The 27,402-nt window shown below is 33.4% G+C and overlaps 2 long non-coding RNA genes and 1 other non-coding gene across 4 annotated transcripts in view; 2 read left to right on the top strand and 1 right to left on the bottom strand.

Moving 5' to 3' along the window:
* MIR3171HG (MIR3171 host gene) overlaps positions 1-27,402 on the top strand; it is a 351,396-nt gene that overhangs the window by 33,462 nt on the left and 290,532 nt on the right. The gene's annotated exons all lie outside the window — the stretch shown is intronic.
* On the bottom strand, positions 124-27,172 carry LINC00645 (long intergenic non-protein coding RNA 645). The gene is made up of 5 exons (NR_039992.2): positions 27,083-27,172; positions 26,264-26,339; positions 19,887-19,937; positions 5,416-5,516; positions 124-3,340 (listed from the first exon to the last, which is right to left on the bottom strand). It is a non-coding gene; the product is annotated as a long intergenic non-protein coding RNA 645 (long non-coding RNA).
* Positions 6,482-6,555, top strand: MIR3171 (microRNA 3171). Its single transcript, NR_130461.1, has one exon. It is a non-coding gene; the product is annotated as a microRNA 3171 (primary transcript).

The following is a 27,402-nucleotide window of genomic DNA, read 5'->3' as shown; positions in this document are numbered from 1 at the left end:
ATCACAGGCAATTGTACTTTTTAGATTGCATAGTGCATATATAAAATTAAAGTAACGTTTATGTAAAATAAAATATAGTAGAAGAATGAATTGGCTTAAGGAAATAAGGAAGAGAAAAATGTGTCCTTTTTCAAATGTTTATTACCTTGATATTTGTCAAAGTATATCACATATTTTAACTATTTCAGATAAGAAATTAGATTAATCTGAATAGAATACGATGTAGCTTGAGTGAGTAAAAAAGTTACCCACCATTCATCCTGAATGAAAAAGACAGTTATATAGGCCAATCAAGAGAGTTTATTTTATACACAAGCCCACACATGCACACATACCTCATTTACTTATCACAAAATGTCTGCAAAATACATATTATACTTGAGTGTTTTAAGTAAATATTTCTCAGAGTTGTTAAGTAACCTGCTCCATTTTAAACAAGTAACTGGTGACAGACTGGGATCCAAAACTAATTCTGTCTGATTCAGATATCTGTCTTTTGTTTACTTTGTTTTTGCTTATTTTGTTTTGTTTTGTTTTCAAAATACTTGATGAAGGTATGCACAGTTCCATCACCAGATGGGTTTTAGTGGAAGCAAACATGGGGAGAGAATGTCAGTTTTGGAGTGACCTTAACAGCTGCTAGTAGATGCATAACAGTAAGTTATAAAGGAATATAAAGGAAAATGCCTACAGTCATATCCATGTCCAAGTAAAGCCTTCATTCCCAAAGTCAGGCCATATTTAAAATAGTTTGGAGGGGATGTGAGACCATATGATATTTGAGAGACCATATGACATTTGAAAGACCATATGACATTTATCTTTGTTTCCTAAAATTTCCTAAAAAACAAAATGCAGAAAGCATCTCATGAATAACTCAATTTAAAAACAGATAAAATGAGGATTTACATGAGTAGCCCGGGAGACACCTAATAATTCCCATAAAAATTAACTATTTCTTTTAAAAACAGGAAAATGGTTAAGGCTTATTATTTTGATGTCTCTAACTTGGAAAGAAAGCAGAGGGGAAAAGAGGCACCATCATAAACACTCTCAGAATTTATGTCTTGGCATAATGTAGAGAAAAAAGAAAATCCATAACACTTTGAGTAAATACATTGTTTCAGCACACAAGGTAAGACACCATATACTCCTTTACAGCCAAATATTGATTCCCCACTCAGTCTTAGAGTGAGGAATAGAGGGAGAAAGTGCCAGGAAAAGACTGGTGAAATGGGGGATGAAGGTACATGAGATGGCTCATTGATACAAGCAAAGCCTTGGTGGCTCTGCGCTGAATTAAGGAAGAGATTTGAAAGCAAGGCTATTTCCCTGGCGGCAGTAAAACTGCCTCCTGGAAAGAGAGCAAGCTATGGGATTAGATACTTAATAAAATTTTAGGCAAGAGAAAGAGTCCAGGTCTTTTACCTAAATTGCACACCAATTGAGCTCATCTGCTTATTCTCTACACACTCAGGCTAGGGAAAAAGTGGGCACATTTCAAAACTCAATGCTTAAACTATAGCTTGATGTGAAAAAGTAGAGACAAATTTGCCCATGCTACATCAAAGTGTAAGAACTGTCCATCTTAAGCTGGGAAACCTGAAAATCATGGCAAGTATAAAATCACTTTTTAGTAATAAGACAAGGAAATAAAATAACATAAAAGCACATGCAAAGAAAGTATTAGGAATCCATCCTACGAAATGCAATTTTTAAAAATGACACAATATCCCAGGAATAATTATACAGAAAGATGCAATGAAAACAAAAATTCAAAGAATCCATCAAGGACATACACACAAAATTAAAATGAAATGAGAAATCCAGAGCGAAAGAAATACATATGTGGCTAAAATAACACTGTTTACAAAATAAGAGAATTAGAAATAGCAAAGCAAAGTATCTGTAATATAAATAATTTTAAACCATTTTATAGAGTCAATATTTGGCAAGGTTGTCGGCAAATAAGCACTTTTTACTTCTGTTTGTGGCAACCCTACATTAAGCAAGTCTGTTAGCATCATTTTACCAACAGCATGTGCTCACTTTGAGCCTCCTAGTCACATTTTGTTAATTGTCATTATATTTCAAACTTTTTAAATTAGTATTATATCTGACATAGTGCTCTGTGATTACTTATCTTTGTTATTAACATTGTAATTGTTTTAAGGTACCATGAAACACGTCTATACAATATGGCATTGTAAATTGGTGTCACTTTTGCACAGGAATGTGGTAATAACGGAGCAAAATTTAAAGTGTTCATATGATTTGACTCCACCATAATCTCAAAATTTCATCTAAAATATACTGGCAAAAGCATGTCAAGTTATGAATAAGAAGGCTTGTCATAACACTACTTGTTTAGCATCAAATTTCCAGTTTACAACAAATTGGAAACAACCAGGATGTCTCTAGCTAGTAACCTAGAAAAATATGTAACAGATTAAAAATTTAGTTAAAACTATATATTTTGTGTGTATTGGGGATATATGAATAATAGTCACACTTCTGAAGAAATGGATACAGATGTCATAAATATGAACAACTTTCTTATTGACAAAGATGACTCTAACAATGTGGCATAATCACTAGCCAGTTTAACTACTTTATTCCCAGAATTAAACATATCCATGTATCATTAAGGATCTCCACAGGGTAATAGTGGACCCTGCTCTAGTAAACTCATTAAATTGAGAAACAGAATTAAAATAAACTGAGAACAGAGTGCTCCCAAAAGAGGTGACTTGAGACACATGTTCAGACCTTTATTTCCTTTCTCTCACCAATCTGATAATTCTCTGCTTCCTGAGGGAGAAGGACAGAGATAATAAAAAAAGTTATCCTCTTGTTAACTGTACTGTCTGAAGGAATGAATGGAAGTTTTTAATTCCTTGAGCCATGGCCAGAAACAGCTAGAGGAATAAGATATTTCCTCTAATGATGTGAATAAAGCAAAGTGTGGAGCAATGTTACCTTACAAGCATCTTTATGCAAATTAAGTGCATTTTTTGTTGTTATTTGACATCTCACTCCATAAATGAGATTCAACCTGCATGTAGGAAATGAAAAAGATGATCTTGACTTAACTAATATTTCATCCATAAAGGTAATTTTTGATTTATGGGCTGAACTTGTCCATAAAAACATTGTGAAAAAGAAAGTTTATCTTCAACTTTCTTCACCTTCCTGTCTCGTTTTCTATGTTTCCTTTTCGCTTCCAGATCCCAGTGTTTTTTTCTGACAATATTCTTCAGGCTATAGGTGTCCATACATTTCCTGGATCTTCATCTCTTACCACAGAATGTGGAGTTGGTATCTTAAGTCATTACATATCCTAAAAAAACAGGTAGATCCATATTAAACAGAGTTTCATAGAAAGGTATGGATTTGAATTCTGTTTATTTCCTTAGTGTTCTACATGTAATTTATTGAGCAAGTTACTTTAGATCCATTAGCTCCCTTGTTTTTTCCCATACTTAAAATACAAATATCTAAAATTACTACAGTTTTTCTTATTAAGAAATTCCTAGATGAGTGGATATTTAATTACACTGTAATTATTAAGAAAAAGCAGAAAATACCATGACATTTTTCCAGTGGTGGCTTTCAGGATTTAGAAATAGTCCATTAAAAGGCTTATTTTTAAGTGAACTTTTCTTCCTAGAATCCATGGGCTATGTATATTGAGTTTAGAAAATATTTGGATATTTTCTCATATGCCATATATATATGAAATATATATATATATATTTTTACATATCACAGTTGTATGACAATAGACCTGACCACATAATAATCAGGAGACCACAAGGTGAATTGGAGACATACTCAGTTAACATGTGCAATTCTAAATATTTTTAAATATCCATATGATCGCTTGGTTTATTTGCCTAAAAAACAACCATTAACACATGGAAGAATTTTGTGAAAAATTCCTTGTCAATGTGAATTAATTACTCATGACCATTTAAGAGAAATGACTATATGATAGCTACCAAAACTGTTAGGCTAAATCAATTAGTTGGAGTTAAGGATGCTACATAGAAAGATTAATTCAGTTACAAACTAATTGGCCTAATACCAATTAATATGGAATTTCCTTTATATAGACACAGCCTAGAGCTCCAAATGAAAATGCACTATACTGTGCCAGAAAAAAATATATAATGAATGCATAAAATATTAGCAAAGATTGTTTTAAAATATATAGTTACAGTTTATGACAGTAACTATCAGTGAGAGAATTGTAAATTTGGAAATAAAATCTCGTTCTTCTCCACTTGATCTCTTCTTTTTCTTCTATTTTTTATTAAAATATTTCAAACATCTGGAACTTTACCATTTAGGAAATTTGTGGTTAATTTATGTGGTAGAGCATATTGACATGTAACTCTCAAAATTATTTGTTGTGAACTATGTCTGAGACCATGCAGTACTGTTCTTATATCTATCTACTTTATAATCCTTTCACTCTCTTTCCCCTAAAATGTGCTGATAAAGCTAGCATTATGTAAATGTTACTAGTTACTATAATCAAAGAAATGCTCCTATGCAGGCATATTCCCTTTCCATTCTATGAACACACACACACACACACACACACGCACATATTATTCATTTTTAGAAATGAGCCTAATCATATATATATAATACATACATTATATATATATATACAAGAGACACAGCTTTAAATTATACAGAATGACAGTTTACTAAGTTGTCATAGAGCCTGCTATCTGAGGGGAAGAATATTGGATTCTTTCTATAGCCAACCAAAAAAATAAAAAATAAAAAACAAAAAACAGAAAGCCCCTCCCTCTAATGTTTTTCATTTAAGTCCCAACTGTGCTGTAGCCTTTAACTGTGTAAGACAGCAAGACAGCACATTTTGTAGATTAAACCAATAAACTCACAAACATAAAAGAAACAAATCTCATAATTGCGGATTTCAATTAAAGGAAGGGGGATCAACGCAAACATTCTGCTGGAAATTACACAGCTGCTATCTATACAAAATGAGAAAAATGTCTAGAGCCAGCCATAATTTTACAGACGGAAAAAAAAAACCATGCAGCAAACCCTGCAGTAGGACAGATTGTCTATGCTCCTCACGTCCCAATCAGTAATACAGAAATATTGAGTAATAAATTCCCTGCCTCTCTCGATCTGAAAAGCTCCCACCATCTGTGAAAGACAATTTGTAACAGCCTCAATATTAAGATTCAGTAAACAGACAATCACTCCCCTTGTGCCAAGCCGTGGCTACATTTGGATAAAAGCATAAAGCAAAACAATTAGTAACACCAAGACCCCTCTATTACAAATTATCGAGCCACCAAAACAACTAGTTTCAATTGCAGTTTCCCTTCTACTGGAGAGGAATGCAGGAGATTCTGCATATTTGGCTACCTCTGTGGCCCATGCGTAGGCCTCATCCTGATGCGTTGAATTATTATTGATGGCTGAGGCAGTTCTGCTCTGTTGGTGAACCAATAATGTCAAGGCACCACCTGCAAGATTAATTATAGGAGAGAATAGGCTGAGGTTTCTCGGGACTGAGACATTAATATAGACTGAGCATTAGTTTCAGGGGATTCAACAGACAGCTGAACTAACGCCTCGAACAACGTGATTCGCACTAAATCCCGGTAGCTGTATCTTAGCAGCATGTGGAAGCTTAGAACAATTGTTTTTAACTATGAGGTGCAGCGCATTATGTATAATAAAAAAACCCTAAAATACAAAATCAACAATTCTACCTGAGTTACAAATTCAACCTGGGCTTTGCGGAGAGCATAGATGATACTATTTCACCACAAAGAAAAGATGACGCCACTTTCCTCATGCGTTTGTCCTTGGGACATGTAAAATATGTTCTTATTTACTGTATTTTCTAGGGTTTTGAGTAGGGTGACAAATCTTCCTGGTTTTCCTGGAAAAATCTCAATTCACACTTGGTATCCTGGAGTGATTATTAAAAGCACACACATTTTATTCTTAAACTGTCGTGGTCTGGATGATAAGTTATACAGTCACTTTAGTTCTAAGGCATATGGAGCCTGAAGCATTTACTCACTGTGGCTATAGCCATCTTTTATGTAAATATTTTATTTGCTTATGATATGCAGATATTTGTACACTTTCTTGGAAATAAAAATTTTAAAGAAGCTGAAGTGTGAAGTTAAATAGAAGGATATGCTACAGTTTTAATCTTAATGAAATTTAACTTGGGGCTTCTACCTCACTTTGCCAAATTCAAAGTTTTATTATATACAGTTATATTATATATGTGTGTATATATACATAAATGTATATACAAATATTTATATATATGTATATACCCATATGATATCAGGTAACATTCATTTGATTCTTAATTCTTAATCTGTACTAGACACTCATCAAAGGATTTTACATATACTAATTCTTGTTTTATAGATAGATAAATGGATATATGTGTGTAAATATTTATGCATATATATAGAGATGTATGGAATCTGTATATATCTATATATATGTGTATATATAGATTCCATAAATCTATATATGTATGTGTGTATATATATGTAAATACATATAAAATATGTATGGAATATCTCTCTCTATATATATACTCTATATTCTCTCTATATATATTTTATTAATATTTTCAACTGAGAAAAGTGAGGCACAGACGGATGAATTATCATGTTCATGGTTACAGAGTGAGCAAATAGTAATGTTCAGATTCAAATTCAAAAACTCTGTCCTTAGTGTCCAGTCGGTAACCAGTGAAAAAGCTGTCTTATAATTCATATATGTATGCATTTAATACATGCATTGCAGAGGTTTCTGTATCAGTCTCACTATTTAAATCATCTGGAGTATACCAGAGAAAACACACCATGGTAGCAAAACTAGTAAGCCTGGAGAATTACAACCATGCCCTGCTGAATTTGTTATTGTAACTAGGAGGCTATTTTGTATTCTAATATAGAATAGTTATCTCAAAATAATTTATTTTACTTTGCAAGTTAATGCTATTCTCTACTATCTCTCTATTCTCCTCCCAGCAGCAATCAAAAGGAACTTGAAAAAAAATCCAGGATAGATTTGATCTATTTTCTTAAAATGTCATGACTGTGGAGCGTATGATAGTTAGAAATAAGTTATCAGGCATCTCCACACGAGTAAAGACAAATGTCTTTGTCAGTTTTAAATAGACAGGGAGGAACACTTTGCTTGCGAAGGAACCTAAATTCCAAGTAACTGGAAGGACGGCATTTATATATATGTATACATCACCTATCACCCGCACTCCTGTTTAGAGTGTTTCAATAGAAAATTTATAATTAAAAGGTCTTGTAATCTGAATACACCATGTACAGTTATGCATGTTAAGAGTCTGTCTAGTTTTATTGATGTTATTATTTCACATGAGGAAAACACAAGAATAGAAACAACACATTTTGCTAACCAGAGAAGATGGGGAGCAAGGGTCAACCTGTCCATGAGATTCTTTCCACAGAGCCTTAGATCACATTTAAAAGACTAAGTAAAGCAAAGTTTAGAAAGATTCTCTTGCTTTTCTAGCATTCCATAGTTGTGCCTGCCTCCAGGAGATTTTTCACAACAGTTGATAAAACGGTCCTCTTTCTATGGCTCTCCATCCTAAATATACTCTTTAGTTATTAAATAAACATTATGTTTCAGTCACAGTTCAACACTGGGGTAGATGCTTGAGCAGTGAGGTGAATGAGACACATAAGGAATCTGCCCTCATAATGTGTAACCTTGTGGACAAGGTAAGTAATGAATATAGAAATGAAAAGGCAATTGGGATATTTGCTCACTCTTCTTTTTGCTGCTAAAACCCTTAACACTTTTCTTCCTTTTACTTCAGTGTCACCTCTGGCTTTTCTTATTTCTGTTATCGGTACCTCGCCAAATTCTTTTGATTTGATATTTCAGGGAATTTCCTTCTTGTTGTTCCTCCTTTCCTTTCCATTCTTATGAGATTTTCAACCACAAAAGGCATGTATAAAATTTATGATAGCAGCTACGAAGTCTTTAGTATTATTTTCTTGGGTGTATTGATTTTCTGTAATTATCTTTCTAAGATGAACTGCATCTTCTGTTCTTATATATTGTTTGGCTTGCTTGTCTTTAGTATTGAATATATATTATGTCTTTATGTTTGTGACTATCTTAAATTTATTTAAGGTTTTTAGCTCAGAATTCTCTCTATTTGAATCTTATTATTAAAATATGATTATTGTTAATTTATTATTAAAATGTGGAATTTGGGTGCCATGTGTCGAATTCATAAAACTCCTTAGTTAATGGCACATCACAATCACTGATCTGTGCCACAAAACTCTTGAAAAATGTTATTTAATTTATTCTGTATTCTTTAGTCCTATTTTCATCTCCCTTATACCACATAGAAAGACATTTTATAATGTTGAACATGGAAAAATTTTTGGCACACATTTTTTTTAAAATAGGCATTTATATTCAGTGCTTGAATTTTAAGTTGCATAATAAAAGTGTTGGATATTCGATTTTAGAGATTTGTCCATGTTGTTGTTTTCGTATCTAGTCTTTTAACAGCTGGCCAGGGTTCCATGGTGCATGCTCATCAAAGCAAACTGCACACTTGCCTAATGATGTACAACTTGCTACAACAAATCTCACTGTAATACCATACTTGAATATATTCCCTCATACTTACCTATGAGATAATGTCTTTAGTTATATACCAAGTGGAATTTCTGTGTTATAGTTTATGAAAGGAAAGAGTTAACAGCAGGCCTGTGATCTATTTTTTCCACCTCTTCTTTAGGAATGGGATAGAATGAAAGATGTTCCAGTCAAATCATCTTTTAAACACATTAATGTCAGGACTCTGCAAAACATATGTTGTTATTTTCTAGTGGGTGAGCCCTTTGAAATATTTTGGACAACTCTATTAGTTTGCCAGAGCTACCACAACAAAATACCATAGACTGAGTGGCTTCAACAACAGAAATTTATTTTTTCACAGTTCTAGGGGCAAGAATTACAATATTGAGGTACCAACAGTTTTGATTTTCTCTGGCATCTCTCTCCTTGGCTTGTGGATGTCCACCTTCTTGCTATGTGTTCACATGGTTTTTCCTCTGTGTAGACACATTGCTGGTTTCTCTTTGTATGTCAAGATTTCCGCTTATGAGTACACAAATCAAACTGAATGAAGGTCCACTTTAACAGTTGCTTTTTAACTTTATTATGTCTTTAAATGCCCTGTCTTCAAATACAGATACATTCTGAGATACTGGGGATTACAGCTTTGACATAAGAATTTTGGGAGAACATGATTCAGCCTATGCACCTGGTTGATCTATGTTGTTTATTGTAAATTCACCTAGAATATCACCTTAGAAAATGTCTTCTAGACCAGATAATTTTCAGAACACAACATAAAAATATTTCATGACTTGCATAGCTCCTTTTTGTGTAAGTTATATCCTTCTAGCATAGCTGAGACCTATATGTTAAATCTGTGTCTGACGCACCATAAAATAAAAAGTTAGGACTCAAGAACAGTCCTGGATTTCTCCATGCCTCTTTCATGCTTCACAATTACCCGTGTGTTCTGTAAAAGGGTCATATATGCAAAGTGTCCTTCAAGTACCAAAGGAGCCAAGAAGCTGAAGAAGGAGGCAGACAAATCCAGTTTGTTGGTTTTGAGTGATTTATTAAGGGAACTTGCAGAAAGAATAGTGGCCTTGGGCAACCACAACACAGGTAGATTTTTACACCGTGAACTCTCAGACCCACGGGTTACATCTTGGGGGAAAAGCCTATGTATGCTAGAAGGAACGTGTAAGTGGTTGCAGACATTTCAGCCTATAATTTCTGTGACTATAAGGGTTGTTTTGGAGGAAACTTTCTGTGAATAGGTGTTCTTACATAAGGAGCAATAATACATCAACTAGACATTTTGGCGGCATTCCTGGACTGGAGTTAGTCAGATGTTAAATGGCAGATTAGCATTTAATAAAGTCACTCTTGTCCCTACACCACGGTCCTAAAATTATTAGTAAATTTTTATATTTAATAAGATCTCAGATTCATGTGTGTCTTATTGAACAACTAACACTTTGTGTTGTTATATGCAGTTATAGAAACTGATGGGATGTTTTGTTCTTATGTCTACACATTATCAGTCCCTCTATCACTCTATTCATAAGGACTTTAGAATCATAACACTTAACTCACATTTTTAATTTTAAAACATATTGAGGATCCATTGATCATATTTTTGTACCATGTTATTAAACAACTCATTAGTATGTATTATCTGTTTTTTGTATTTAAAAATGTTGAAAGGTATTCAAAAAGAGAAGCCAAAATACTTTGTAGTATAAGAAGGAATAAAAAATATGAAAAATGTATGATGACACGTATCCACCATTTATTATCATCCGGAGGAAATTTATTGCCCCCAAAATTTTGTGTTCTACCTATTTATCCTTTCCTCTTGCAACTCCTGTCAACCACTAATCTTCTCACTGTCTCCATAGTTTTGCCTTTCCTATATGCCCTATAGTTGGAATCATACAGTATACAGTCTTTCTAAATTGATTTCTTTCACTTAATAATATACGTTTAAATCTCCTCCACGTCTTTTCGTAGCTTTATAGCTCTTTCTTTTTAGGAGTGAATGATATTCTATTGTTTTAGCACAGTTTATTTATCTATTCATATACTGAAAAACATCTTGGTTGCTTCCAAGTTTTTGACAGTTATGAATAAAGTTGTTATAAACATCTGTGTGTAAGATTTTTATAGACATAAGTTTTTAACTCCTTTGGGTGAATACCAAGAAATGTGATTACTGAATAGTATGATAAGAGTATGTTTAATTTTGCAAGAAACTGCCAAATTTTATTCCAAAGAAACTGTACGATTTGCATTTTCACTAGCAATAAATGAGATTTCCTGTTGCTCCACATCCTTGTCAGCATTTGATGTTGTCAGTGTTCTAGAATGTGGCCAATTCTAATATGTATGCAGTAGTTTTTTATTATTGTTTTAATTTTCATTTTCCTGATGACATATAATGTGAAATATGTTTTCATACGCTTATTTGCCATCTGTATATTTTCTCTGGTGAAGTTCTATTTAGGTCTTTCACCGATTTAAAAATCTAGTGTCTTTTTTATTGTGGAGTTTTAAGGGTTCTTTGAATATTTTGGCTAATAGTTTTTTTTATCAGATGTGTGTCCTGAAAATATCTTCTCCCATGCTTGTCTTTTCATTCTCTTGACAGTGTCTTTTTCAGGACAGAAATTTTTAATTTGAATAACGTCTATTTTATTAATTTTTTATTTCATCAATCATGCCTTTGGTGTTGTATCTAAAATGTCATCACCAAATCAAAGGTCATTTATTTTTTCCTATGTAATCTCTAAGTGTTTTATGGTTTTTCAATTTAACATTTAGGTCTGTGATTCATTTTCAGTTAATTTTTGTGAATGGAATAGGGTCTGTGTCTAGAGTCATCTTTTTGTATGTGGATGTCCAAGTGTACAAGGACCGTTTGCTGAAAAGACTACAAGAGATCTTCAAACAGTTCATAAAAATTTTCTAAATTTTCCATGAATTTCAACTTTTTTCACAAAAATAAACTTGCATTGTCTTGTTGTAACATGTCTAAACAGGATCTAGTTTGAGGTACTAAGAAGAATATGACACCAGTTTGAAAATAACCCCTATCAGAGCAGCATGAATTCTGCTAAAATGAAGCAAGAACAAGCATCAAATTTATGGTGAGGCTTGAGCCGAAACAGAAAAATAATTGACCAAAAGCCTATGGGGACAATACCCAAAAGAAATCAGCAGTTTACAAATTATAACTGAAGTTAAGAAGGGACAAGATGATGTTGAAGATGAAAGCTCACAAAAGCAGACCATCCACATCAGTTTGTGAGAAAAAAAAAAATCTTGTTTGTGCCCTAATTGAAGAGCACCAAAAATTAACAGCACAATTAGGTAACAGCCTGGAAACCTCAATTGGTCCAGCCTACACAATTCTGATTGTAAAATCAAAGGTGAGCAAACTTTTCACTTTGTGGGTGCCAAAACCATTGCACACAGATGAGCTACAGATAAGAGTAGAGCTTTCAATTGAAATTTTAAAAAGTGGAATCAATATCATGAAGCATTTCTTTGAAGAATTGTAACAAAAGATGGAACATGGCTTTAACAGTATGATCTCGAAGACAAAGAAGAATCAAAGCAATGGCTACCAAGAGATGGAAGTGGACTAGTCAAAGCAAAACAGATCAGTCAAGAGCAAATATCATGGTGACAGTTTTTAAGGATGCTCAAAGGAATTTCGATTGTTGACTTTCTGGAGGGCCAAATAATGATAACATCTGTTTATTATAAGGGTGTTTTGAGAAAGTTTGCCACAGCTTTAGCAGAAAACACCTGAGAGAGCTTCACTAGAGTCTTTTCTCCACCATGACAAGGTTCCTGCTCATACCTCTCAAACAAGAGCAATTTTGCAAGAGTTTCAATGGGAAATCATTAGGCATCCCCCTTGCAGTTTTAATTTGATTTCTTCTGATTTCTTTTTCTTCCTAATATTAAAAAATCTAAAAAGCGTGGCCATTTTTCTTCAGTTGATAATGTAAAAAAGCATTGACATTGGTAAATTCCCAAGACCCTCAGTTCTTTAGGGATTGACCCAACAATTGGTACCATCTCTTACAAAATTGTCTTGAACTTGATGGAGTTAATGTTAAAAAGTTTATATCTTTAATTTTTATCTTTAAATTCCAGTTTTCTACATATTTTTAAAATTTCCCTCATATCTTTCCTGCATTGTATTGCCTTTGTACTTTGTGAAAGATCAATTGGCTATATTTATATGGGTTTATTCCTTCACTCCCTATTCTTTTCCATTGATCTATTTGTGTATTTCTTTGTCAATACAACCCTGAATTGATTACCTTAGCTTTGTAGAAATTCTCAAAGCAAGGTAGTATCAGTCCTCTAACTTTATTCTTTTTCTTTAATACTGTGTTTGCTATTCTGCATCTTTTGCCTATTCATATTAATATTAGAATCAATTTATCATTATCCATAAGATAACTTGGGATTTTGTATTGAGATTACACTGAACCTGTAAATTAAGTTGGAAAGAATGATATCTTTACAATATTGAGTCTTCCTCTTTATGAACATGAAATACTTCTCCAAGTTTTTAGCTCTTCTTTAATTTCTTTCATCACAGTTTTGTACTTTACTTCATATAAGTCTTGAACATAGTTTGTTAGATTTATACATAAATATTTCTTTTCTGGGTGCTAATGTAAAGTTTATTGCATTTTTTAATACGCAAAAATTACCAATGTAAAACACAACAAATAAGTGCTTGCATTATAAATACATTTGTTGCAAATAACAAAAAGTCCAAATATCAATGCCTTTAACATAAAATAGATTTACTGTTTCCTTATACTTATAAGATGCTCCTTCAGGTAACAGACTGTATTCCAGGTACACAGAAGAAGGAATAAAAACCAAAGAAATTTATGAGCCTTTTTTTTTAATCAGGAAGACACTAAAACTCTCACTGAAGCCTTTTATCTAATTCCTCTTACATATTATTGGTTAGAATTTTATCTCATGGTCAAGCTTTGCTGCAAGACAATATGAAAAAGATGTGTATTTTGAGCATTACATGTTGAAACTTCAATATAGATATTTTTACAGTGGGGAAAAAAGATACAACAGATATTGAATAGACAACTAAGAGTTATGGCTAAATTAATACTTCAGAAACTTATGTGTAGAACAGCTGAATATTTGAAAGAACAGGCCAACAAACTTATATTAGTCTTGAGTTCTCTAATTTATATATTTATTTTAAATTAATATAAAAATAAGCATCTGTTTCTGTAAAGCATATGGTTGTTAGGTTGTTAAGTAGATATTCAATAATAAAGTTTGCTTTGTTTATGAAAGAAATAGTTGCTCAGAATTTTTTCCAGGAGACATTAGCAAATGATGCTAGGAATAAAAATTTACTCATAATTTCTCTATTTTACAATACTATTAACAAATAATCACCATTAGAAAATGTAAAGGGGACCTGGGGTTTTAGTAAATCTCTGACATGTCCCTTACCATGATCACAGAATCTGTATGTATATGATCATCTTGTATAATCTTGCCAATCACTACTCTTTGAAGTAATCATTCCTTTGATTGAAATTTTAACCTCTATTGTTGCATGAAACTATTTTTAACTGATTGTATATTTACTTGAGAAGTTGTCTTTTTTATATGACTACACTGTACATATCAGATATATGACTTCTTCATTTATATATCCTTTTATTATCTAACCAATTTTTAGCAAAGTGGGTTCCTCACATACACTTGTAGAACAAACATTAATAAATCAAATGAATACTGATGGCCTCATGATTCCACAAATTTGTTGTGTTTAGCACATTTGTCTGAAACATAATTTCAACCCTAAACAAGATATGAACTAAACTTTATGCTCATGAGGGGTGTGTGTGTGTGTGTGTGCTTTTCACATTTTAGTAACAATCTATAAGCTAGGGATGCTGTGCAAGTTTCAGTAGAAGTTTTTATGGGTTTCTGTAATTGCTATTGTTGTATTTTATACCCTCATAATGTCATGAGAAAATTTATCAATTCACACATGCTGAGTGATATGATTTGGCTGTGTCCCCACCCAAGTCTCGTCTTGAATTGTAGCTCCCATAATTCCCCTGTGTCATGGGAGAAACCTGGTGGGATGGAATTGAATCATGGGGATGGATCTTTCAGTGCCATTGTCATGATAGTAAGTTAGCTTTCACAAAATCTGATGATTTTATAAGGGGCTTTTCCCCCTTTTGCACTGGACTTCTCTCTTGCCGGCTGCCATTTAAGACATGACTTTGCTCCTCATTTGCCTATTGCCATGATTGTGAGGCCTCCCCAGCCATGTGGAAATGTGAGTCAATTAAACCTCTTTCCTTTGTAAATTACTCTATCTCAGGTATGTCTTTATTAGCATTGAGAGAATGAATAATACAATAAATTGTTACTGGGAGTGGGGTGCTGTTTTAAAGATACCCAAAAATGTGAAAGTGACTTTGGAACTGGGGAACAGGCAGAGGTTGGAACAGTTTGGAGGACTCAGAAGAAGATAGGGAAATGTAGGAAAGTTTGGAACTTCTGAGAGACTTCTTGATTGGCTTTGACCAAAATGCTGATAGTGATATGGACAATAAAATCCAGGCTGAAAGGGTCTTAGATGGAGATGAAGAACTTTACTCTAGTTGGAAACTAGAGTAAAGGTCACTGTTGCTATACAAAGGACTGGTAGCATTTTGCCCCTGCCCTGGAGATCCATGAAACTTTGAATTTGAGAGAGATGATTTGGAGTATCTGGTGGAAGAAATTTAAGCAGCAAAGCATTCAAGAGGTGACAGAGCATAAAAGTTTGAAAACCATAAAAGTTTGAAAACCATAAAAGTTTGAAAAGTTTGCAGCCTGATGCAGTAGAAAATAAAAACTCTTTTTCTGCGAAGAAATTCAAGCCAGCTGCAGAAATTCATATAATTAACAAGGAGCCAGATGCTAATTTCCAAGGCAATGGGGAAAATGTCTCTAGGGCATTTCAGAGACCTTCATGGCAGCCCCTGACATCACAGGCCTGGAGGCCTAGGAGGAAAAAATGGTTTTGTGGGCTGGTCCCAGAGTCCCCCTCCCTGCTCTATGTAGTCTCCAAACATGGTGTTCTGCATCCCAGCTGTTTCAGCTCCAGCTGTGGCTAAAAGGGGCCATCACACAGCTCAGTCTGTTCCTTCAGAGGATGCAAACCCCAAGCCTTGGCAGCTTACATGTGAAGTTGGGCCTGTGAGTGCACAGAAATCAAGAATTGAGGTTTTGGAACCTCCACCTAGATTTCAGAGGATGTATGGAAATGCCTGGGTGTCCAGGCAGAAGTTTGCTGCAGGACTGGGGCCCTCATAAACAACCTCTGCTAGGGCAGTTCAGAAGGGAAATGTTGAGTTGGAGCCACCACACAGAGTCCCCACTGGAGCACTGCCTAGTAGAGCTGTGAGAAGAGGGCCACTGTCCCCTAGACGCCAGATGGTAGATCCATTGATAGCATGCTCCACATGCCTGGAAAAGCCACAGGAGCAGAGCTTCCCATGCTGTGGGAGCACACCTTTTGCTTTAGCATGAACTGGATGTGAGACATGGAGTAGAAAGAGATTATTTTGGAACTTTAAAGTTTAATGACTGCCCTATTGAATTTCAGACTTGCACGGGTCCTATAGCCCCTTTGCTTTGGCCAATTTCTTCCATTTGGATGTTTACCCATTGCCTGTACACCCATTGTATCTGGGGGATAACTAACTTGCTTTTGATTTTATAGGCTCATAGGTAGAAGCGACTTGCCTTGTCTCAGATGGGAATTTTGACTGTGGACTTCTGAGTTAATACTGAAATGAGTTAAGACTTTGGACTGTTGAGAAGGCATGATTGGTTTTGAAATGTGAGGACATGAGATTTGAGAGGGGCCAGGGGTAGAATGATATGGTTTGGCTCTGTCCCCACCCAAAAGTATCATCTTGAATTGGGAGGAACCTGGTGGGAGGGAATTGTGTCATGGGGGTTGGTCTTTCCCATGCTGTTCTCATGATAGTGAGTTAGTTCTCATGAGATCTGATAGTTTTATAAGGGGATTTTTCCCTCTTTGCACTGCACTTCTCTTTTGCCTGTTCCATGTAAGACATGACTTTGCTCCTCCTTTGCTTCTGTCATAATTGTGAGGCCTCCACAGCCACATGGAACTGTGAGTCCATTAAGCATCTTTTTCTTTATACATTACCTGGTCTTGGGTACATCTTTATTAGGAGCATGAGAATGGACTAACATGTAGTTTCTCTATTTTATAAGATTTGTCTCATTTTTGCCTATATTTGATAAGAAATTATGTTTTGTATATATTTAATTTGTTCCAACTTCAACTCTTGTGGGAACCATTATAATGTTCTTCCCTCAAAGTTGCTCATGTTTAATGCTGAGAACCTGTGAATATGGCAAGAGGGACTTTACAGATGCAGATGTGATTAAGTTAAACATCTTGAGATGGAGGGATTATCCTGTATTACTCAATGGAACCAATGTAATCACAAGGATGCTTATAAGAGGGAGGCAGGAGAGTCAACCTCAGAGAGAGAGAGATTTGAAGATGTTACACTGTTGGCTTTGAAAATGGAACAAAGGGCCATGAGCAAACAAATGAAGGTGACATCAAGAAGCTTGAAACACAAAGAGAAATTCTCCTCTAGAGTCTTCAGAAGCAACACAACCCAAAAATACCTTGATTTTAGCCTAGTCAGACTCATCCTGGACTTCTTTCCTCCCCAAATTATGCTTTTTAAAGCTACTATATTTTAGGTAACTGTAAACAGCAGTAATAGGACACTAATACAACTCCCTACCACAATTAATGAAAACAATCTCTTTTGGATGACACTTCAGAGTCTCTTTAAGTAAAATGTTCAATCCCTCAGAATCCTGCTTAATCCCTCTTGTGAACTCAAAATATAAGCAGCGACTTACAGTGTTTTTATATCACAGAGTTAAAGGGGACCCCAAAACTATGCAGAGACCGTGGATCCTATGTCTTCAGTCAACTTTGTTCTTTTCTGATTACACTGCAAGTGTTGATTTAATGGTCAATTTTTTACCATTAAGTATAATGTTAGCTGTAAGGTTTTTTGTAGATTATCTTTAACAAGTTTTAGGAGGACTCCTTTCTACTCCTGTTTTCCTGAGAGTTTTTATAATAAATGGGCGTTGACATGTTTCACATGTTTTTTTCTGCATAGATTGTTATAATCAAGTGATTTTTGCTTTCTAGGCTAAAATTATGTGTCATGGTATTAATTAATTTGTGACCCTTGAACTAGTCATGTGTTCCTAGTGTAACCTTAATTGGTCATGGTGTATAATTGTTATTACTAAATTAGACTTGTTAACTTTTTAAAAATAATTTTGTGTTTATATTCGTAAGTGGTAGACTATAATTTTTGTTTTCATTTTTTGATATCAGATATCAGCATAATAATAGTCTTATAAAATAAATTAAAGATTGTTGCTTCCTCTTATCTGAAAGAGTTTGTAAACTCATATTAATACTTCAAAAGTTTGATATAATTCTTGATGAAAACCATTTGGGCATATAACTTTCTTTTTCAAGAGGTTTATAATTTAAAAATCCACTTAATAGCTATAAGGTTATTCAAATTATCTATTTCATCTTGGGTGAGTCGTGAAAATATTTTCAAGACTTGGTCCAATTTGTCTAAGTTGTCAAATTTATATGTTTTAGAGTTGTTTATAGTATTCCTTTATTACCTTTTATATATATATATAGGATTTATAATTGTATCCTATTTTTATTCCTGATATTTATACTAATAATTTGGTTATTCTTTTTTCCTTACTGTTACTAGAGATATGTTAATATTATTGATTTTTTCAAAGAATAAACTCTTTGTCTCATTGGTTGTTTTCCAATATTTATGTTTTTATTTTTTTATTTTATTCACTTATAGTCTTATTATTTTCTTTCCTATGCTTACTTTGGGTTTATTTTACAGCTTTTTATATATATTCTTTAAGTGGGAGAGTAGATGATTTATTTGATGCTTTTAATTTTTTTGAATGTCTTTATTTATAGCTATACATTTCTTTCTCAACACTGATTTAGCTGTCTCCCACAAATTTTGGTACGTTGTCTATTCCATTTCATTTTATTTCAATATATTTTCACAAATTCATTTGAGACTTTTTTGACCCATAGATTATTTGCAAGTTTCTAGATAATTTTCAAGTGTTTGAATATTTTTCTGTTTTTTTGTTACTGATTTTTAGTTTGATACTATTGTGATTAGAGAGCATACTCTGTATGATTTCTAGGTTTTTACATTTTTGAAGATTTTTTTAATGTTCCAGAATATTATCTTCCTTTGGTTATGTTCTGTGGGCACTTAAAATTAATGTGTATTCTCCTGTTGTTGCTTGGCATGTTCTAGAAATATTGATTAGATCTTGGTGGTTGATGGTGTTGCTGAGTTTTGCTGAAATTCTGTTTAGTTGCTCTACTAATTCTTCAGAGAAGGATGTTGAAGTCTCTGATCATTATTGTGGTTTTGTCTATTTCTTTTTCAGTTTTTTCAGTTTTCACTTCACATATTTTATAGCTCTGGTGTTCAGTGCATGAACTTTAGGATTGCTACGTCTTTTTGGTAGATTGCCCTTTCTATCATTATATAATGTCCCTCTCTGTCTCTAGTAATTGTCTTTGCTCTGAAGTCTACTTTATCTAATATTATATTCAAGCTTGTTTTCACATTAACATGATTCACATTTTCATGATTTGTCTTTATCCATCCTTTTAGTGTCAACCTGCCTATAGCATTATACTTGAAGTGAATTTCTTGTTGACAAAAAATAATAGAGTCATGTTATTTAATCCACTCTGCCAATCGTTTTATTGGACAATTCAGACCATTTCCATTTAATATAAATATTGATGTTAGGTTTAAAATCTATCATTTTATTTTTGTTTTAGTTTATCTCTTTTTTAATATTTTTTCTGATTTTTTCTGCTTTTATGATGAGTACTTTAACTGTTTTTTGACTTCCATTTCTCTCTGTGTGTATATGTATGTATGTATCTATTTCATTTTTCTATAAGCTTTGTTGGTGGTTGTGCCAAGTATTTCATAATACAGATACATAATTTATCATGGTATACTGGTGTTATTTTGATCAGTTCAAGTGAAATATAGAAATCTTACCTCTGTTTACATTGTAACTGCTCCCTGCTATAACTGTCTTAAAGACTTCCTCTACATATAATAAGAACAAAATAAATCAGTGATATAATTTTTGACTCAATGTCAACAATAATCTAGACAACGCAAGAGAAGAAGAGTGTTTCGTATTAGCTGATTTTTTTATTTGTTTCTTCATTTTTTGCTTTATTTTTTAAATAATTTTTTCACTTTTATTTAGTTATTTTTTTAATTTTCAATTTTTATAGATACATAACAGCTGTACATATTTATGGGGTAAAAGTGAAATTTTGATCCAAGCATGCAATGTGTAATAATCAAATCATGGTAATTGGGATATCCATTACTTAAGGACTTTTTGTTAGAAACATTCCAGTTTCTTACTCTTACTAGATATATGTTAATATTAACAGTTTCACTTGTTCAGTTATTTTGAAATATACTATATATATATATAACTAGATACATGTTAATATAAAGTTTCACTTGTTTAGTTATTTTGAAATATACTGTAAGTTCTTATTAACATAGTCATTCTATTGTGCTACTAAACACTAGATCTTATTCCCTCTAACTATATTTTTTATACCAATTAAGAATCCCCACTTATTCTGCCCCTACTGTCCCTTACAATACATTTTCTGGTAGCAAATTTTCTTAGTTCTCACTCCTGTGAGAACGTCTTGATTTTTCTTTCATTCTTGAAGGCCATTTTCACTGTCTATAGGATTATGAGCTTTCCTGGCCTCCATTGTTTGTGAAGAAAAATTTCTGTCATTATAATAGTTTTTTTCCTATAGTTTCTAAAATATAATGAAGATGTATCATAGTGACATAGATGTATTTAGTCTTATTCTGTTTGGTGTTCATTCAGCTTCTTGAATTTATATCTTTTATGGTTTTTTGCCAAATTTGGGGAAGTATCCCCCTATTATTACTTCAGGTAATTTTTTACCCCAGTCTTTTTTCTTATTCCAGTGCTTTGACGACAGAAAATGTAGATATTTCACTATATGATCGTTTGCTACATAATATTTTGGTCAATGATGGGTTGTATATATTGTGGTAGTCCCATAAGATCATAATAGCATGATTTAACTGTACCATTTCTATGTTTAGATAAGTTTAGATAAACAAATACTTACCATTTTGTTATAGTTGCCTACAGTATTACATGTTGTACGAGTTTAGCCTAGGAGCAATAGGCTTTGTAGGTTATACCACTGAGATTTGTGTATAATATACTCTATGGTGTTTGCACAATGACAAAATCACCCGAGGATGTATTTCTCAGAATATATCCTCATTGTTAAGTGATACATGGCTATATTTTCACAGGTTGCTGGAGAATTTGTGTCTAATTTTCTCAGTTTTGCAGATTGTATAATTTCTACCTATAGTCTTTCATTCATTTTTTTCTCCCCTCTATTCTATATTGAACCCATCCACTGAACTTCATATTTTTGTAATTGAATGTTTTAATTCTAAAATTCCATTTTGCTCCTCTTGATATGTTCTATTTCTCTGCTAAGATGTTTCAACTCTTTGTTGACACATCCTTTTGTTTTTTAAGGATATTCGTTTGTAATTGCTTACTGAAGCATAATTATTATAACTGCTTTAAAATATTTTTAGATTATATAAACATCTCTGTCATCTCATTGTTGGCATCTATTGCTCACCTTTTTAATCAAGTTTGATATCTTCCTACTTCTTGGTATGATAAGTGATTTATTATTGAAGACCTGACATTTTTATGTTATTTTTTGGGACACTAAATTTTCTTTAAACTTTCTGTTTTAACTGGCTTTCTGTGACACTGCTCCAGCAGAGGAAGAAAAGCAGCTGGTTATAAATACAAGTCCAGGTTACTTACTCATCCTTCATTGAAACCCAAGGGGAGTGGTCTTTTGATACCACTAGGTGAGTGCTGATGTGTTGGTGCCTCACATGACATCTACCGACATTATGGTGAGAGTGGCTTTGTTATCACTGGGTAATGGTGAAATTCCTGATTCTCCAGTAGGCTTTCTCTGACGCCACCCAGGCATCAAGGATGAAGGGCACTACATTACCGATGGGTGAGGTGAAAGCCCATGTTCTTCATGTGGTTTTCACTGACATTGCTGGACAGAGGACTTGTTACAGGCTGATGGTGATGTATCAATTTTCTATTTGACTTTCTCTACCATTACCATCAGGACCAGCAGATATCTTTTAACAAACTTGTGACGGTGAAAATCAAGATTTCCAGGTCAGTCTTTTCTGACTCAGACACAATTTTTGTGGATGTTGTTTTCTTGATTTGTTTTTTGGCGTTTGCCTGGAGTAGAGTGGTTATTATGTAAAAGTTTTCTCTCTAGCTAGGCTGCTTTTCTACTAGTTCTTTGGCTAGAGAAAAGAGCCATTTTCTGGAGGATTTTTTCTGTGCCCATTGGCATTTTCAGGCAGCTTTTTCAGCTCCAAGTCTAGTATATATGAGACAAAAACCAAGCCGAAGAAACTATCATTGTGTTGTTTTTTGTTCCTGAGGTCCCTCACTGGTCTACTGTCTTCTTTACACCTATATAGGGTCTTTTTACATTTATTTTATGTATAATGTACAAGGTTTTAGCTATGATTAGTGAGAGGAATAGGAAAAAGTATTTCTACTCCATCTTCCCAAAAGTGGAAGTCACTCCTAAAAATGTGGTTTCAAGTTTCCAATGTTAGGAATTTTATAGATGTCTATTTTTCTTATTTCTGATTATATTCCATAGGAATAACAAAGCCAGATGATTTTATTCCTTTTAAACTAATTAAATCATACAGACATCTTAATGAATATTCCATTTGCATCTGGAAACAATGCATACTCTTCTGTTTTGAAGTAGAATGTTCTGTAAATGTAATTTAGAAAAAAACTGGTTAACAATGTAATTTAAGTCTTCTATATTCATATTTGTTTCCCCTATAAATGTTATATAAATGAAAAGCAGATGTGTGTTGAAATCTCAGTCTTATAGCGTGAATTTATCTATTTCTTCTTTCAATTATTTTGATTTTTGCTTCATATATTTCAAAGTTCTGTTATTAAGCCTGTATATGTTTGAAATTATTATGTCATCTTGGTGAGCTAGTCTCTTTATCATTAAAAAAAAATCCCTCTTTTTCCCAGGGAACATAAATTGTTTTGAAGTCTCTTTTTTTTAATATTAATATAGATACATCAGATTTTTATACATAACAATGTCAAGGTATGGTCTTTTCTACTTCTTAACTTCAAAACAAATTATGATGAAACTATCTTTTAACTTTTGACCTGTTTACAAGTAAAATTACTTTCTTGAGGTCAGCATATAGATTGACTTTGGTTCTCTATTAATTCTATCAATGGCTCCCTTTTATTTGGAGATTGTAGTACATTTATAATGATTTACTTTTCTATAATGTTGAGGTTAAATCTATCATTTTGCTTTTCATTTTCTTTTGTTCTCAAGGTTCTTTTCTCTTTTTTTTGTCTTTTCTTGGCTTCTAAGACATTAATTATTTTAAAAAATTATTTTATTTTCCATATTAGCACATTATCTATACCCACTGGCCCTTTATTACATAGAGGAATGAGCACCAGACAAATAGAAAAATGAGTTGTGCTGTGTGCTTTGTTTTGTTTGTAATTAATTGATATTAAATTGACCAAGCTGGGTGGGCATGGTGGCTCACACCTCTAATTCCAGCACTTTGGGAGGCCAAGGCTGAAGGATCACTTAAGCCTAAGAGTTCAAGACCAGCCCTGGCAACAAAGCAATACACCATCTATACAAAAAAATTAAAAAATTAGCAGGCATGGTGACATGTACCTATAGTCCCAGCCACTCAGAAGGCTGAGGTGGGAGGATCAGTTGAACCAAGAAGTTCTAGATTGCAGTGAGCTATGTTCACACTCCTGCACTCTAGCCTAGGTGACAGAGTGGGACCTTATCTCAAATAAATAAATGAATTTTTAAAAAAGTATAGGTATCTTTTTTGACCTCTTTAACCAACTGTAGTATTAGATGGTTTTAGCTGCTTAATTCTGTTTTATTACCTATATATAAACCATTGTAATTTACTTGTACAGCAAGCTTATTTTAAATAGAGCTTCTAAATTTTTAATTAAATGATTAATTAATTTTAACCAAATAAATCACATAAAACATCAAATATGCTTTGAGGCATAAACCAACATTATCTGCTCCAAATAATATTAATACATATATACAAATATTATACATAGAATTTTCACTACTTAAAAAATTTAAAAGCAGATTTTAGTAACATTTTTCTTATTTCAATTAGTGTGTTAATCATGTACAAGCTATTGCAATCCATGTTTACAATTCTACAAAAACATAAGTAGTTACAAATTCTTGTAAAATGATATAGTCATACATAAAATTCTGAAGTTGAAAATATCTGTTTTTATTGTCTTCTAATTTTTCTTCTCCTTTATGAAGTGTAATAACACGTGAAGGTGAGACAAGCATTTAAATTGCAAACAAAAGAAGAAGAAAAGCAATTAACTGATTCAATCAACTGGATGAGTTCTTGAATACACCAGGGAAGAATATCAAGTTTTAAGTAGTAAAACATTTTAAGTAGTAAAAGTTTCAAATAAGGGATGCAATAGAAAATTTTGTTGCAACAAGATAGCTTCAAAGATAGCTTAAGTACTGGTTATACTTTTCAAAACTTATTTTATAAGCTATAAAGGAATGCCTACACAGCATAATATCTGATATTATAGTAGTCAATTTTTTTATAAAAGGACCCTGAAAATTTTATTATTATTATTACTCCCTGTACTTAGCAAAGGAAATAGTATTTATGTCTCATTAGGAAACATTACACAGTATTACAACAAGCAGATGTTATTTTAAGGTTCTCTTTTATCCCAACATAATATGTTTCTCAAAATTTTTGAGATACAATTACCAATATCCTTTAAAACTCTGTTTATTCTTGTTTAAGCATTTGGATTTCAGAAAAACATTATGTCACTTGAATTTGAATTTTTTTTTATTTTTATTCAAACTGTGAACCCAAAAGTATTTGAGGCAGGTTTCAATCAATTTAGAAAGTTTATTTTGCCAAGGTTAAGGATTCACATATGATAAAGCCATTCATATGGTTTGGGGACCTTAGAATTTTATTTTGTTTTAACATTCTCCCTCTTCTGGCCAAGGTTTGCCAGAGACAGCATCAATGGCCTCCAAATGTTTATTTTGTTCCATAGCATTGCCAGGGCTAAAGGACTGTCTGCCTCAGGTCCATCCTGTCCCTCGGTGGGACACTCTGTGGCAGAGGGACTTAGAGTCAAGAGACTTATAGCCAATTAAATATTCCAGGCCAGACAGGAATGAACATGGACAGGCATTCATTATCCCATAATTTTTTTTTTTGTTTTAAAGAGCCAACAAACAAAAAGCCGAAGGCGAGGTTACAAAACTGAATTATATTTAACTTCTGTGTGTTGAGCTACTGCAATCTTGGTTTTAGTTACAGACATAAAACAATTCACTATATAAAGCATAACATTGTTCTGAAAAATAAATTTTAAATATATATTTATCTGCACAACTCATAACTAAGAGTATTATACTCAGGAGGCTTGGTCACGAGGTATCATAATCCTCTTAGTAATTATTTTCTCTTAATTGTATGGGAAGCAGGAAATTCCTTATGGTTGAGGTGAATGAAAAGGTGCTACATAATAGCTCAGAAAACAAAGTCCTTTGTTTTACTAGCCGTTTCGGTGTATTTGTACCCATCTTTGATTTGGAGTGTCTGACCTTGATCTACTTCTATCCCTCAAAACCAGCCCTTACAATCTTATGTGCCAACCTCTTCCATGATAGTCTCTGGGCCTAGAGGGAGGGGGCTTCTATAGCCTTAAACAGCAGGGTATTTGCAGTGAAAAACAGATCAGGCCCAGTGGAATGCCAAATGAGGGAAATTTGCATCTTGTAGCCAAGAAATAATTCATGATTCAATCTACACTCAAAAACAAAAGTCAGGGCTGAAATCTAGTAAAAAGTATAATAGTTTTACTTTGAAACAATTTCTTCCTCTCTCTAGCCCTCCTTTCCTATTGAAGAGAAATTATAGTAAGACTAATTTGTGTGCAAAATAAGTTTTAGGCTCATTGTACTTTGCCTGATTATTTGCATAAATTGCAGCAAGAATTGATTGCCATATAGGCTCTTTCTAAGTTGGCTTTTCTGAAAGTTTACCTAACAATATGTTATTCTAGTTAAAGCCCTGGTAAAATAACCAGTGTCTCAAATAATCCTGTTTTAAAAGAAAAGACTCTTACTAAACTTATGTAAATAAATATATTTTCATAAAATCAGAATACTCACGGTTTCTGAATTTTGGAGAATTCAGAGAGAAAGGTAAATTTGCTCACAAAAATATACTTCGTCCAATTGCTCTAAACTATAAAAAACAGAAAAGAAAAAGATTTTCTAGAATTTTCCTTGGAGCAGCACCATTCCAAACAAGATGTGGTTTGTTCACCTTGGAACTGCTATTCACATGCTAAGTAGCTCATCTTAGATGAGAGCTGTTTATTAGGCACTGTAGAATCTAGCAGCTCCTCACACAGTTAGTTACTTCTAGGGAAAATGGAGGTTCCCTGCTCATGAGAATTTCCTTCTGCCATCCCTAGGTAGTAAGATTCTATTTAAACCATTTTTATTTTATTATAGAACTCTTTGGGGCACCACTGTTTCCATTAGCATAAGGGTAGCTTCAATTAACATTTCATAGCAAGGCAGTAAATTCTCCTCAGGTGGATATTCTCTAGTCCAGAAGTTGTCATTGGGAAGTGCTTACAGTCTTTTGTCATCAGTCCCAATAAATGTTCCACAAAGGGCTATAAAGTGGAGGATTTTTCCTGATTAGCACTCCAACTTTTGCCCTATATTCTGTGGGCTCAGGCAATCTTACTAGTTCCTATTTATTTACCATGTCCATATTCTCTTTGGGAAATGCACAAGGGGAGAGGAAAAGACACACACACAATACCTTTAAAAGTAAACAAACTTTATCCCATGTATATGGCAATGCAGATGTAATAAGCAAATTATATAATAATAAGGAAATGATATAATAAGCAGATTGACATAATAAGCAAATCACAATGGGAAGGGGAGAAGGGAAAAGGTTTTTACACTCACCAGACTGTGGAGGATTCACCACCAGACTGGATAGCAACAGCCTGGGCTTCAGAGTCAGCTACTCCTCTGTCCACAGACGAGGATCGGTCTCATGAAGCTTCGGCGCAGTCTGGGACCCTAGCTCTTTTTGTAACAAGTTGTTTGGCATGAGGCCCAGTCACGAGGGCCCTTCATGACTGGGCTTAAGGAACACAAAAATGTCAACTTGTTTTTGTGATTGTCTATTGTTTTTCAATAACTAACATATAGGAATAGATTGAAATAGAGATTTGTCCGAAACAGTGCTGGATAAATGCCTCAAGGGGCTCACACAACCTTTT

The sequence above is a fragment of the Homo sapiens genome, chromosome 14 (assembly GCF_000001405.40).
Source record: "Homo sapiens chromosome 14, GRCh38.p14 Primary Assembly".
Classification (NCBI taxonomy): Eukaryota; Metazoa; Chordata; class Mammalia; order Primates; family Hominidae; genus Homo; species Homo sapiens.
This window is presented reverse-complemented; position numbering and strand designations above follow the sequence as displayed.